Source organism: Homo sapiens, chromosome 6 (genome assembly GCF_000001405.40).
Source record: "Homo sapiens chromosome 6, GRCh38.p14 Primary Assembly".
Lineage (NCBI taxonomy): Eukaryota > Metazoa > Chordata > Mammalia > Primates > Hominidae > Homo > Homo sapiens.
The window spans coordinates 53,559,970-53,575,396 of NC_000006.12; the positions used below are offsets into that span (position 1 = coordinate 53,559,970).

A 15,427-nucleotide genomic window follows, 5' to 3' on the forward strand; every position below is an offset into this window, starting at 1 on the left:
CTTGAACTCCTGACCTCGTGATCTGCCTGCCTCAGCCTCCCAAAGTGCTGGGATTACAGGCATGAGCCACCATGCCTGGCTGGATTTACTCTTAATAAATTGTAAGACATTTTAATTTTTTTAACCCAAAGTTCAACTTTTATTGCATCTCACCATTTTTGGTTTTCTCTCCCCTTTTAAAATGTGTAAAATAGTAATGCTCACTTTCATCTCATTTTCAGCTCATGTAAGTTTTTTTTCCCTCGAGTTCTGTTTGTTGTGGCCTGATGCTAACAATACAGGTCTAAAGGAAATGTTTTCTTCCAACATAATATTTTGTGCACTGCAGAAGGTCTTTTGTTTTGCTTTTTGGTAACTGACTAACAGATTTTACATTTTATTGAAATAATTCCTATGCCATTATTATTAAGTTTTGGTTTGTTTAGAAAAAAACTGAGGTTAAAAGAAAATTTTTAAAAAATTAAAGGTATTACATCCGTGTATCTTTCTGTATGTGCTTTTAAAGTACTTGTGACATTGAGTTACAGGGCTTTGACTCCTGGGTCTAAAAAGGACACCAAGTCTTGCTAAATCTTAAACACTGACAGCAATTAAATCCTCATCTTCAGGTCTGGTAGAAGAAGTCAATCAAAATAAACTGGATTCCTAAAACACAAGGCCAGAAATTAAAGCTAATCAACTCCTCAAGGCCCAGGGACTATTCTGTGGAAGAGGTGTGTGTTTAAGATTGTAAGGACTGATTATGATAGAGAAAATAAGTTGTTTCTCTATAAATTAACCGTTAATGTCAAAGGCATACTGATGCAAGACCATCATATGGTTCCCTGTGTAGTATTAACAAGGTTTTCTGGAAGCATTGACTGACTCCTTAATAAAGGTTATAAAAGTTATAAAAGGTTTATGGAAGTTATATCTTATAGTCAGGATTAAAATTTTATAGATTGTGTATAAAATTTTGGAAAGCAAATTTAATTGGCTTCATGCTGTTTTTATTAGGGCTTGTTTGGGAAATTAAGTCTCCTCTCTAAAATAATGAAGGTTTTTGCCTTTTTTTTTTTTAAATCCTTGAGTTATCACTTTGGTTAAATAAATGACTTTTTACAATGACCTGTGATCTTATTTTGTGATATCAAGTGTTTTCAACCTTTGATATTTGACAAAGTTTCCAAAATCAAATTATAAATTATGTCTTTATCTGACCTAATTCATCCTTTAAAATATTATGTTCCCTAAAGTCCAAAAATGACATATTTGTCTTATTTGGTATAAAAATTATACAGGAAGCACTGTCAAATATGAAATGGTATTTGGTTTTCTTTGGGCTGTATTTGTATAAATGTGTTATTGGTATCTGTTCCAAAATAATAGGAAACTCCTAAAATTCTGATATGACTTAGTGTATGTTATCAGTAATTATAATTGTTATGTTAAATTATTGTATGCCACAGAGGTAACAAATTTTCTTGTCAACTGTGTCTTTGACTATGGCTGCCCTAAAATTTTTTGTCATCCATGGACAATTGTTGTCTTGTTTTGTTCCTCTTTTGAAGGTAGTTTTATAATCAGCTATAAAACTCTTAACATGTGTTCTTGAATGCAGTTTTCTGATAACTTTGGAGATTGTGACATTAGAAAAGAGGAAAAACTTTCAGGACTTACGGAGAGCTGAAATGTTCACGAATATCAAGCAGAACAGAAATTAACTGCATGGACTGAACCAGTAGAAGACTGAAGTAGTCTTTTTGACTTTTTGCACAAAACGTTGCTGATCCTTTGTTTTGTTTTTCAGAGTCAAGGAAACTTTTCTTTTGAGCTATTGACAGCTTTTAACAAGTATACTCCTATGAACGAAATTTGGAGCTTATTTGTTTCTCTCTACCTGATTTCTCCAAAATTTGGAAACTACTTGTAAGTATTCGTGACTTACGGCAATATAGTTATTTGCATAAGTGAAATAAGAATCTGTTTTTATTTGTAACAGGACACAATTGGAGAAACTGGTTATTTTACTGAGTCTTTGGCTGGAATGGTGTGCTTTCCTTTAAGGTATTAAACTTGATTTATAGAGCCAATAAAAACCCCTTGGGGAAACTGGCCTCATACCTTGTCTGCACAGTCCCTGAACGGTGTTCCTGACCTGTGGTAAGTAAAGAATGTCACTTTCTGACAGGCCCAAGAGCCCTAAGTTATGTTGGAACTCAAAAGGAGAATAATTCACCCAACTCATAGGTATTTGATGGTACAAATCTGTGGCTGGGCTTGGCTTTAAAAAAGGCTTATGTGAGATTCCTTCTATGGAAGAAGTCCATCAAAGCTAATTTTAAAAGCCTATGTGAAAAATAATTATTCTTGCTTCACTTCATACAAATAATCTGGCCAAGTATAATAAAGCAAATTGGTTCTTCTATGATTTGTTTTTAGTGAAAATGGGAAACTGGAGAGAGAAAAAATACGTTTCAAAAACTATAGTGCACCTGTTGTTAGATTTTAGTCTTGCCTAATGTTTTTCTATTTTTATTATTTTCTACAGTTTAGACTGAATTCTAATTTTTCCTGGCTACAAGTCTCCAAAATAATGTTTTCAATTTTTTTCCTTCTTTTCCTTCCCCTCACCCCATTTTTCCTAATTCGAAATAATTGAAAACTAAGCTGTACTTTCTAAAGTCCTGCAAACTGAATCTAGACAACTTAAACTTCAGAAGAAAATAAAAGCAAACTATTTAGGTACATAAGCCACTTTCATACCTACCTACTGATGTATGGACTTCAAAGTAATGTGGTCTATATAGATTTTCTAGGATTGTTCTCTTGTTTGTTGTTTTTCTCCCTTCCTCCTACTATTGTCTCTTCACAGGACATGAGACTTCTCAATCTGCTAAAAATGAGCTTTCCTAATAACTTGGGACCTACCCCTGTAGGAATAAACTATCCTAGCCATGAGAGCAGAGACTCATTTTCTTCTAAAATGCTTTCTTCAAAAGATTTTTAAAAAGAAAATGGAAGAAGTGTGAAAGGAAAATAAATCTCAGGGCCCCAACATCACTAAGCTAAACGGAAAAGTCAAGCTGGGAACTGTTTAGGGCAAACCTGCCTCCCATTCTATTCAAAGTCACCCCTCTGCTCACTGAGATAAATGCATATTTGATTGCCTCCTTTGGAAAAGCTAGTCAGAAACTCAAAGGAATGCAACCATTTATCTCTCACCTACATAAGACCTGGAAGCCCCCTCCCTGCTTTAGTTGTCCTGTCTTTCTGGACATAACCAATGTACATCTTACATATATTGATTGATATCTCCTGTCTCTCTAAAGTGTATAAAAAAAAGCTTTGCCCTAACTACCTTGGGCACATGTCGTCAGGACCACCTGAGGCTGTGTCATGGGTGCATGTCCTCAAAATTGGAAAAATAAACTTTCTAAGTTAACTGAGACCTGTCTCAGATATTTTTGGGTTCAGATATTCATCCAGCCCTGGTGTACCCTCTGAAGTATGTTATGCCAGTGCATGAGAAACTGGTTATATACTTGTACCATTATTAACGTTAAACTATAGAGTACTTAGTGCTCCTGTCTACATTTCTTAAAAATTCAGTTTTAACAAATGAAAACTCAGATTTCTTAGAAGCTTTGTTACTACTCGACAGGAAATGTAGCATACTGTGTATTAGAACTGAGGGAGAATCCCAACTCTGGTCCCTCCTAGCTCTGTAATCCTAGACAAACTACTCTGCTTCAATTTCATCATCTATGTAATTGGGAGTGAGGAGAAGCAGTAAGTTGCTGAGTGGTTCTGAAGATCAAAAGTAACATATATGGAGCATCTGGCACATACTAGGAGCTTAATAAATTGGTACTTCTTTTACATCCATCAAGAAAGGTAGGAATTTCAGGAGACACAACACTGCTAGACTGCAACAAGTAGCAGTGAGCTTGGAAAACACTAGCCGTGGATGCTTTTGCTGCTACAATAGTAAGAGGTCTCAAACTTTTCCAGAAAGACACTCTCCTCTTACTCAAAGCCCAGCATTTGTAAAAGCTGGGGTTAACAGCTTTCATCTGGCCACCAAAAGCCACCTCGCTGGCACTTTAATTTTCAAAGTTTTGTGACTGTTACCAGTGTTTTTTCTGCAAGTATCATTCAGACAAACCTTCGCTGGCTCCTCTACCTTCTTCCTCTCCAAGCAGAAACCTGGATTAAATATAAAACAGCTTGCTCATCAGCAGCAACCTCCATGGCCTTGGGTAGGGGCGTTGTGGAGTCATGCTTCAAGGCTGGCAGGCCCCAGCTGTCAAGGAAAGGTAGGCCAGTGAGTTCCTCATCAGATAGTTGCTATGAAGGCTCATTTGGTGTCGGCAGCTCTGCCCTGGCACAGCCAAACTGTCATCCTTCAGAGGAGTGTTCTGCCAAGGGGATGGGCACCAGACAAGTAGGTTTCCCTGTTTGTCTTTGATCTGGAGAAGAAAGGGGAATCAAGACATTATTCAATATCTATTATGATCAGAAAAGCTTATATTTATTCCGCCCCACAAACTGAGTAAAGCAGAGCTTCCCAAAAAGTGTGCCCAGAACATTAATGTGCCCTGTATAGTTACCAAGTGCCAAAATGCCAATTGCCCTCAGCCCTTGTGAAAGCAAAGCAGGACTTCATTCAGGTGATCAGAGCTCCCTGATCTGGTCACCTCTCACTGCAGGTGGCAACATCCTTTGCAGTAAAATATTCTCATTTTCAAAGTGTACAATATTATGAAAAAGTTTGGGAAAGACTACTATAAGGTATTACCTTGGTTTACAGAGGAGGAAGTTGAAGCTCACAGATTAGGAAGCATACCCAAAGATCACACTTGCAAACAGCAGAGCCAGTATTTGATTCCAGGTTAGTTTGCCTTCAAAGTCCAAGTTCATTCCACTTTCCTCACATTGCTGAAAACAATACAAAACCATAAAAACAGTAACACCAGAAATCTGAGTAGACCTTTTTGGTTTAGGAAGTGCTTTGACAGAAGAAAGGAAGACATAAGAGGTGATGGAACAAACACTTCTCATATACCTACAATGTACCTCGTGCTTTACATTAACAGTCTTATCTTTTTAACAGTTTTAATTTGTTTTGCATAAACTTATAGTAGATAAACATATAAACTTATGGTACATTTTTTACAAATTTAATTTGCTCTTTCATAATTTTCTCTCTATGCCCCACTACTTTTTTTTCCTATTTATTTATTTTTGTATATTTAGGGGGTACAAGTGCTGCTTTCTTACATGCATATGCTGCACTATGGGCTTCTAGCATACCCATCACCTGAATAGTGAACACTGTATTCAATAGGTAATTTTTAAACCTTCACCCCTCTCCCCATTCTCCCACCTTTTATAGTCCCCAGTGTTTATTATTCCACTCTTGTCCCTGACTCCTTCTAATAACTGATTCAGTTCTTAGAGATACATTTAATGATAGAAACTGGACTTAATCCCATTTCTTTTGACTGCAAATTCTGGACCCTCCTTGCCCCAAGAGCAATGGAATAATTAATTCAAAAGAGATTTTCAACATAAAATAGTCATATTTACTGGACCAAGACTGTACAAAATAAACTCTTAAATTTGATGCTGTTTTTAGGTTTTTTAATACATTTCTATTTCTCTCTGTATACCTTTTGATTTCCTAGTTCATAATTTTTGGGTTTCAGAAGGATATCTATGTCATGTGCTGGTGGAGGAAGATACAGGGTAAGACCAAATGGCAGATTGGTTAGGAGTTGAATCACCAATCACTTGAAGTAGAGGCTTGAGAGATTAAAGTAACTTGAGAGTTAGCATGGCTAGAAGACTCTCAAGTGATGATTTCTTTTTAAAGGAAATTTTTCTCTAAATACAATCCTTAACATAAATCCATGGAAATAAAACAGTATCATTTCATAATATAATTCACCAAAATTCATGGTATCAAAAATGAAAATTCTCTGTCTAGAGATGTCTCTCAAACACACAACAAAGCCATTTTGTCCTGTCTAGGAAAACCCAATGTAACTTTTGTGAGCGATCATGAACCATTTCCGTGTCCAGGGAACTAATCACTGCTTATGCTGTGTTCAGTAAGGTCAGGGGCACAATCCTGTAGTTGTAGGCATTTGTGATGGGGAAATCTGGTAGTTTTTCTGAGTCATAATTTGATTGCAATGGTGATGGCAATAGCTGAAACTTTGACTGTGAGAATTTGTCCTTGAAGATAAATTATTATTGAGGTTACATCTGGCACTATTTTCTTTTTTTCATTATGCAAAACAAATAACTAAGAATATGGTCAAACCCCGTCTACTGAAAATACAAAAACAAAACAAAGCAAAACAAAACAAAGCAAAACAAAACAAAACTAGCTGGGCATGTGGGCATGGTGGCGCAGGCCTGTAATCCCAGCTTCTCAGGAGGCTGAGGCAGAAGAATTACTTGAACCCGGGAGGAGGAGGTTGCAGTGAGCCAAGATCGTGCCACTGCACTCCAGCCGGGGCGACAGAGCGAGAGACTCCGTCTCACAAAAAAAAAAAAAAAAAAGAAAAAAGAAAAGAAAGAAAGAAATATTTTACAGTTGTTTTTAAATGTTTAATAGCTTGGATTATATATATGTTCATAAACCTGCTGTCAAGTTAGTACCAGTGTTGATCTGGGTTGCAAGGAACTTAGTTTGAAAGTTTGGATAATACGTAAAGTGCCACAGTTATATAACTAAGGCAATTATCTGTCAGTTAGATTAAATTTGTGTTTGTTTATTTAACAAATACTAGGCACCCACTCTGTATGGGTCCTGTTTTCGGTGCTGGGGATATTGGGTGAATGAGAAAGGCAGCATTTCTGCTGTCATGAAGCTTTCCTTCTAGAAAGAGAAGACAGAAAATAAACACAATACATTGGACCACTTTAGGTGCCATTTTGAAATAATAGAGAGCACCTGTTGTTATGAATGTGTCAGACTGTCTTCTGGTTAGTTTTGCTAATAATTTACCTACAGGTGCAGTGACTCTGCAGGTTAAAAGAGCTGCCAGCTCTTAGAGAATTTTCCTTTGCTCCTGCTGAAGATAAAATCGGAGAGTTATAGTAGAGAATTTTTTTTCCCCATTTCCCTTCGAGTAGGGCATACAGCATCCTTCTTAAATATGGAGTGGGTTAATCAGCATGAATTATAATTGAAAGACAGATGCTTTAGTTCTCTTTGAGAATCCCTAGTTTCTGTTATGAATCTATAGTTCCTTAGAAACACAGTATTTAACCAATGCCTAAAGCCTGAAGGGTTTATGAGAGATTTATGAGATTTACTCAGCACGCCAAAATAGTGTCATAATGTTAAAGAAATTCGACTGATATTTTAAATTGACTTACCATGTTGTTACGTGGTGAAGGTTTTTATTTTTTTCAGAATTTACTTGGGATAAAAACAATAATGAGTGACATGCCTTTGATAGTATTACACTATAATCTTTAGAAGACCATGCTGATATAAAGTTCCAGGCACAGGATGGTAGAAAACATAGAGAATGTAAAACAAGAGGAAAAAGTACAAGTAGTCATGTTTTTCAGAAATCTGGTACATTTGATGATGTCAAATATGTAAGAAACAAATAATTCATATTAGTATATTATACTCAAAGTTGCTTATAAATCCTGTTTTTTTCCCTCATAAGAAAATAACATAAATTCTGCTTAAAGATAGACTCCCCAATAAGGGTTTCTTCTCTTTTATCCATTCTTGTATTTTCTAGATGTAGAAAGGAGGTTCAGAGTCATTACATTTTAACTACAGTAATATGTTTTGGGGTTTCCAAGTTTTAGTTTTCAAGTTATGGCTGGTTTATACAGCTTCAGGGCTGTTCTGTATTCAGATGATTATAAAGTGATTGGTTTGAAAGGCCAACGTAAGTCTGCAAATATTTACTTCAACTTTTAAAGTCTGTTAACAGCTCAATTCAGGTAACATGTTGTTGCATGATTAAAGAAAGCTAAGTTTCCTTTAACTGTACTTAGAAAGAATACTGTTGAAGTAATAAACAACAATGGCTATTATGTTTTTTTTTTGAGGCTTATAGTTTTAGTAATCGCATTAGTAACTGCATTCCAGAGGTCCAGAGCTTAGAAGGACCTACAAGCTGTAGTAGAGATTGTGAAAAATTACCAGAAACAAAAAAGGAGAAAGACAGAGACAGTGAGAGATGAAGAAAGGGAGAGGGGAAGGGAAGGGAAGACCAACAGCCTGGATTAGGGGTTTGGATTTCTTACTTACTAGTTCATTCATTAAGTCATTCATTTCTTCTTTCAAAATATTAGTGTGCTGGTGAAGACTTTAAGCAAATAAGTGAAACTCTTAGCCGAAGTTCTGGGAAAAAAATAATTTTTTTTTTTTTTTTTTTGAGACGGGGTCTTCCTCTGTCACCCAGGCTGCACTGCAGTGGTGCGATCTCAGGTCACTGCAACCTCTGCCTCCAGGGTTCAAATGATTCTCCTGCCTCAGCCTCCCGAGTAGCTGGGACTACAGGCACCCACGACCACACTTGGCTAATTTTTGTATTTTTAGTAGACAGAGTTTCACCATGTTGGCCAGGCTGGTCTTGAACTCCTGACCTTGGGTGATCCACCCACCTCAGCCTCCCAAAGTGCTGGGATTACAGGCATGAGCCACTGTGCCCAGCAAGATTTTTTTTTTTTTTTTAGTAAGAAAAACTGGAAAGGATAATAATTCTGTCTATGTCTCACAGTTATTGTGAGGCTTAAACAACAACATATATGAAAATGCTTTGGAAAAATTCTCTAGAGAAGAAAGTTCTCCACAGGTGCTATTAATAAAAGGCACATGCCCATTTACCATCTTATTTCTGAAATCATATTTGAGGTATTTCAAGCAGCCTCCAGTGGGGCTCTGGCCCAGTAGCTCATAGTGCGAGATGAACAACATGTTTATCTTGTAAGAAAGCTAGCAGAGTGTCTTAATATTTCAGCTGAGTGTATGAGGGGACAGTTGGAGCAGAGCAATCTCTCTTGATTAGTGCAAAAAACTACTGATTTGCATATTTAAGATATGATATCTCATTGTATGGGAAGAAGTTGGGCAAATGATTCATCTGGAAAAGATCAAGGAGGCTGATTCATTTAATTCAGGGCTTATTTATGCAAAGCTGTTTTTGAATGTTTGCAGATCTGGATCAAATAATTATGGCATTAATTGAGACATTAGTATGTGTTCATCATTGGGTTCAAATTCATAAGCATCCTGTTATTTAATTCTCACTACAGCCATATGAGGTGAACAATAATATCCTCATTTTGCCATTGAAAAAAATAAATTTTGATGACTTAAGCATTTTTTTTAAAGTTTACATATCTAGTAATTGGCTCAGGGCTCTCCTGCAAAGTTAGCTGTTGGCTCTGAGAATACTGGGGTCAGTGACCTGGGGTCAGTGATCTTACCTGCACCCCGTCCCTATTTACTGTAGCATTTGCAGAAGATGCTGTGTTCCTTCTCACCTCCTGTGATGGTGGCATCATCCTGGATGGCAGCTCTCCCTCTAGTTAGGTCAGTCTATCTCTTGCTTCTCAGTGATGCTCTAGTTTCAGCAGTCAGTGAATACTCTGCAGGGGTTAATGGAGGAGCTGGGAAGTGTAGGGGTTCAATAAAAGGAAAGATGCAGAAAAAGGAGTAAAGTAAGGGGACTGGGGAAATATGAATAGATTTAATGAATATTTATTAAGTGCCTACTAGGTATCTGGTACCGTGCTAGGTACTGGGACAAAATAACAAGCAAAAGGCAGGATATTTCTCATGGAGCTTATAGCTTAGTTGGGTGGGAGGAGACTAGTGTTAAATGAAGAGCCACATAAATGAATGCACTGTTCCCGGAATGAACCAAGGATCAGGCTGCTTATTCTCACGGCCCAATAACGAGATGCAGATGAACTGGGAAAGAAGAGAGTTTACTTCTGTAACCGGGTATAGAGAGAAGGCCGGGAAAATATCAGCAGACCAACTCAAAATTACAGTTTTGCAGAGCTTATATACCTTCTAAGCTACATGTCTACGTGTAAGTGTGCATTCATCGGAAGACATAAGTTATTAATTTCTTCTAACCTATAGCTAAAGTCTGTGGCCTAAAGACCTTCCTGTGGAGCCTCAGTAAATTTACTTAATCTAGATGGGTCCAGGTGCCAAAGGTAATTACCCTTATCTTGTCTCCTTGCTAAATCATGGAGGTTTAGGGAGTTCCTTCAGACCCCAGTAAAACTTGTTTAATACTAAACGGATCTTGTTAAGAATTCCTTTGTTATCTTGTCATGCTTCAAGGCCCAGGAAAAGTCTAGGCAAAACTCTCAGTGGGCTTTTGTTACCTTCCAGCCTTTGTATAAGGACACTGGCTCTATTACGTTTGTTGTTGTTGTTGTTTGTTTGTTTGTTTGTTTGTTTTTGAGAGGAAGTCTTGCTCTGTCGCCCAGGCTGGAGTGCAGTGGCATGATCTTGGCTCACTGCAATCTCTGCCCACTGCAACCTCCGCCTTCAGGGTCAAGTGATTCTCCCGCCTGGGCCTCCAGAGTAGCTGGGATTACAGGCACCTGCCACCATGCCCGGCTAATTTTTGTATTTTTGATAGAGATGGGGTTTTACCATGTTGGCCAGGCTGGTCTCGAACTCCTGACCTGAAGTGATCCACCCGCTTCAGCCTCCCAAAGTTGTGGGATTACAAGCATGAGCCGCTGCGTCCGGCCTTCTATCAACTTATTTATTTATTTATTTATTTATTTATTTTTTGAGGCAGAGTCTCGCTCTGTCCCCCAGGCTGGAGTGCAACGGGCGGGATCTCGGCTCAATGCAAGCTCCGCCTCCTGGGTTCACGCCATTCTCCTGCCTCAGCCTCCCGAATTGCTGGGACTACAGGCGCCCGCCATCATGCCTGGCTAATTTTTTTTTTTTTATTTTTTAGTAGAGACGGGGTTTCACCCTTATAGCCAGGATGGTCTCGATCTTCTGAGCTCGTGATCCGCCTGCCTCGGCCTCGCAATGTTTTGGGATTACAGGTGTGAGCCCGCACCCGGCCTCTATCAACTTTTTAATATTTAACTTAACACTCAGTCAGTGCTGAAACAGTTGTCATGGAGGCCTGCCTGTTCAGCTGTTAGTGAGACCCGGCCTGCTACAGCACAATTTAAAATTGTGAGGTTCCATGACGGTGAAAGAGGGCTATGACAAAGAATAAGGGGAAGAAGATATAGTTTAGATAACAGGGGTGTGTTTTTCAGAAAAGGCCTCTCTGAGGAAATCGTGTTTAAAATGACATGTTTATAAACTGTGTTTGAATACTGAAATACTTGTATATTGATAATTCTAAAATAATACAACTATTAGCCTTTGAAATTTGTAGTTAATAGTAGGAAATACATTTATTTTTATTACTTATGCACAGTTTTCTTACCATTTTTAAAAGTAAATTGTAGATATAAGTGAATACTTCTATATATGCTTTAGTTATAAAATTTAAGGAACTGCTATTTGATTATCTTCATATCACCTGGAATAAGCCATGAGCATTACTGATTTTTACAGATAAAATATCTTTTGTTTTGTGAAGGATTTTTCTGTATTTCCCAATTAACTGTTTCTATATATACAATAAAAATTATCTTCTCACCATTCAGTGTGTCTGTTTTAAGGTTAATATTGTACCAAATATGGACTAATCCTCATTTCTAAAGCTTATGTAACCACATAGTGTTTTATGTCCAATAAAATGTTATTTATGTACTCGGTTTACAACATATCTAATTTTTCATAGAGGAAATGGACATTTTGGCAACGTTTAATGGTGACAAAATGAAACAGAATCTTTTTTTTTAGAAAAATAAAATATGTACTTTCTACCTTTTGGATATGAATTTTCACTTGTTTTCTACTGACAGTTACTTCTCAAATAGTGTACATTACAAATAAAGTTATCATAATTAGTGGGAAAGAATATTGATCAAAATATTTTATATTCCATCTTTACCTCTGTTCAAAAACTTCACGTAAAATTGTATATGTACATTTCAAAATGTAAAAGTAATGTTTGTAAGGATCTTCACAATTATCAAAGCATTAAATGTACCATTTATTTTTTATTTACTGAATAAAAGGGAAGTTTATTAAATGGTACAAATATCACATTTTCTCTGTTTTGATACTTGTTTGTTACAGTTTATAGTTTATGCTATCTGAATCCAGGATTTTTTTTTTTTTTTTAATAGAGATGGGGTCTCCTTATGTTTCCTGGGTTGGTTTCCAACTCCTGGCCTCAAGTGATCCTCCTGAATAGTTGGTATTATCGGCATGCATCACACCAACTGGCCCTTTTTAAATTATTGTTATTATTTTAATTTTATTTTTTAAACTAAAAAAATTTTTTTGAACTAAAAGTAGATCTGCCATTTGATCCAGCAATCCCACTAGTAGGTGGGAAAAGAAGTCATTATATGAAAAAGATACTTGCACATGCATGTTTATAGCAGCACAATTTGCAATTGCAAAAAATATGGAACCAACCCAAATGCCCATCAATCAACAAGTGGATTAAGAAAATGGAATACTACTCAGCCATAAAAAGGAACGAAATAATGGCATTCGCAGCAGCCTGGATGGAATTGGAGACTATTATTCTAAGTGAAGTAACTCAGGAATGGAAAACCAAACACCGTATGTTCTCACTTATAAGTGGGAGCTAAGCAATGAGGACACAAAGGCATAAGAATGATATAATGGACTTTGGGGACTTGGAGGAAAGGGTGGGATGGGGTGGGAGGGATAAAAGACTACACAATGGGTACAGTGCACACTGCTTGGATGACGGGTGCATCAAAATCTCAGAAATCACCACTAAAGAACTTATTAATGTAACCAACCACCACCTATTCCCCAAAAACCTACTGAAATTTGTAAAAGAATCAAATACAATACAATAAAATATGTAAAATTAAAAAAATTTTTAAATAGGGATGGGGTCTCACTATGTTGCCCAGGCTGGTCTCAAACTCCTGGTCTCAAGCGATCCTCCAACCTCAGCCTCCCGAAGTGCTGGGATTACAGGCGTGAGCCACCATGGCCGGCCAGATGCTGACTGGAGTTTAAATTCAGGATTTCTTTTATGATCATTGTTTATTATTAATGTTAGGAGTAAATTTTTTTTTCAAAAAAGTCTTATTTAAATCGATGGCACAACTTACAATTAATGGCATTTTAGAATTGGCATCATATGGCATGATTTATATTTTGTCAGCAGCAAGCCTTGATTTCATCCACCTGGAGTAGAAAATGAAATACTATTAAATTTTAATGTCCAGCTTTCCATGGTTCTTCTCCCCAGGCTGTGATCCCTTGAACTCTCCCTCATCCTCCACTTTCTCACGATTCTCGTTCGGTATTTCTGGGAGTCCTGGACGGCGTGCCTTACACCAGGTTTATAACCCGCTCCTCCCCTGGAGGTACCTGCTGCTAGCTCTCCCGCTCTGTTCCTGGCCACGCCCACTGCACTTCCGGTGGCCTGAAGGAGGATCACATGAGACATCCCGGGGTCTGGCTGCATGCAGTCCCCAGAGGCTGTCCCCTCAGCACTGTTTAGTAGTCGGGTTCTCGGCGACTTCAGTCTAGTCCCCAAGGCTTGCTCTCCTTCGTCCAGGAGCAGCTCTGCTCAAAGCCAAAGGGTCTCCAGGTGTCTCAGGGAAGCTTCTGTCACAAACTTACTGCAACCTTTGCTTTCCAGCCTTCCACACACACACAAGTCTCCATGGAATCACAGGGCAGTTGCAACTCCCCTTTCAACAGGAAAACTGCAACAGCCTCCCTTCTACCCAAAAGGCATCACGTCATTTAAAAGAAGGATGAGGCAGGGCAGTCAGTAATAACAATGGCAACCACAATAGGTGTCACTCCATTTTGATGTTAGGAAACTCAACAGAGAAAATCAGAGAGGTTGAATGAGTTGCTCAAGGTCACAGACCTAAGAAAACCATGCTCAGGATTTGAACCAAGGACTGCCTCTCTCCAAACACACCTATGCCATCTCCCATAAAAGGACTGGATTTTTTTCTGTCCCATGGCTGTTTTTACCTCTTGCTGAGCCTATCAGCTGAGGTACGTAGGGTAAGGTGTGGGGAAGCACAAACTCCTCCATGTGCAATGGGTTGAAACACCTATTCCACATTACTGCTGTTGTTGCAGCAGGGATAAAGGGGGGGGTCGTGACCTACCAAAAGGCCCCTGAATTTATTTTTCAGCTTTTAGCTTATATTTTTGTTTCTATTGTACCATTTGATGCATGCACTTAAGTGCCTTTAAAAAGGAAACTCCAAACAGCTGAGAAAGAAACGTTATAAAATTGATGACATCTTTTTTTTTTTTTTTTTTTTTTTTTTTGAGACAGAGTCTTGCTCTGTCGCCCAGGCTGGAGTGCAGTGGCATGGTCTTGGGCCACTGCAATCTCCCTCTCCTGGCCTCAAGCAATTCTCCTGCCTCAGCCTCCTGAGTAGCTGGGACTACAGCCACCTGCCACCACACCCAGCTAAGTTTTGTATTTTTAGTAGAGACGGGGTTTCACCATGTTGGCCAGGCTGGTCTCAAACTCCTGAACTCAGGTAATCTGCCCGCCTCAGCCTCCCAAAGTGCTGGGATTACAGGCATGAGCCACCGCACCCGGCTTGATGACATCTTTTATGAAATCCTTTTTATGTTTTCAAGTGAATTTGGGTATTTTGTTTTATGTTTTCAAGTGAATTTGGTCAGTTTTCTCCCTTGAAAGAACCAATGCAATGCAATTTATTCATTCAGACTTTCTTTTCCTTTCTCTTTCCCTCCCTTCCTTCTCTCTGTCTTTCCCCCATTTATCATCTAGGAGACACCTGCATTACAGTGTTTGAAGCAGTTCTAAGCATTATGGGATACAGAGATGAATATAACTGATACCTGTCCTAGGATATTACACTGTAAAGAACTGGATCTTTAGAGCAGAAGGCAAATACAGAAAAATTCTAATACCAATTATAAAAGGATAAATACTTAAGCAAATCTGATAAGTGTGATGTTTTTTGTTTTGTACATAGATTACTCTCCACTGAGAGAGAAGAGAGCAGGGCACTAGGGAAAGCATCTTGAGGAGATGGTGTACGGGGTAGATTTGGAAGGATGGGTAAGAAGTTGTTATGCAGATATGGAGCATGGGCAGAGTTTAGGGCAGTAGAACCATCAGAAACTGTATGATGGGATCAATGAAGAATAGGCTATACATGGTGAAATGAATGGAATGCTTACATCCCCCCTAAATTCATATGTTGAAATCCTAACCCTTAAACTGATGGTATTAGGAGGTGAGGGCTTTAGCATGTGATTAGGTCATGAAGGTAAAGCACTTGTAATTGGAATCAGTGC

The 15,427-nt window shown here is 38.2% G+C and overlaps 1 long non-coding RNA gene across 1 annotated transcript, besides 1 other annotated feature; it reads right to left on the reverse strand.

The window, feature by feature from the left end:
- Positions 1–1,319: 1,319 nt before the first annotated feature.
- On the reverse strand, positions 1,320–13,306 carry KILH (KRT19 interacting long noncoding RNA in hepatocellular carcinoma). The gene is made up of 4 exons (NR_110840.1): positions 13,231–13,306; positions 9,454–9,636; positions 4,781–4,920; positions 1,320–4,451 (listed from the first exon to the last, which is right to left on the reverse strand). It is a non-coding gene; the product is annotated as a KRT19 interacting long noncoding RNA in hepatocellular carcinoma (long non-coding RNA).
- Positions 13,065–13,565: an enhancer, noted in NCBI's record as "H3K4me1 hESC enhancer chr6:53437832-53438332 (GRCh37/hg19 assembly coordinates)". NCBI's record gives its function as "activates a minimal SCP1, AML or CMV promoter by ChIP-STARR-seq in naive H9 embryonic stem cells {active_cell/tissue: H9 hESC(naive)}" and the evidence as "EXISTENCE:reporter gene assay evidence [ECO:0000049][PMID:30033119]".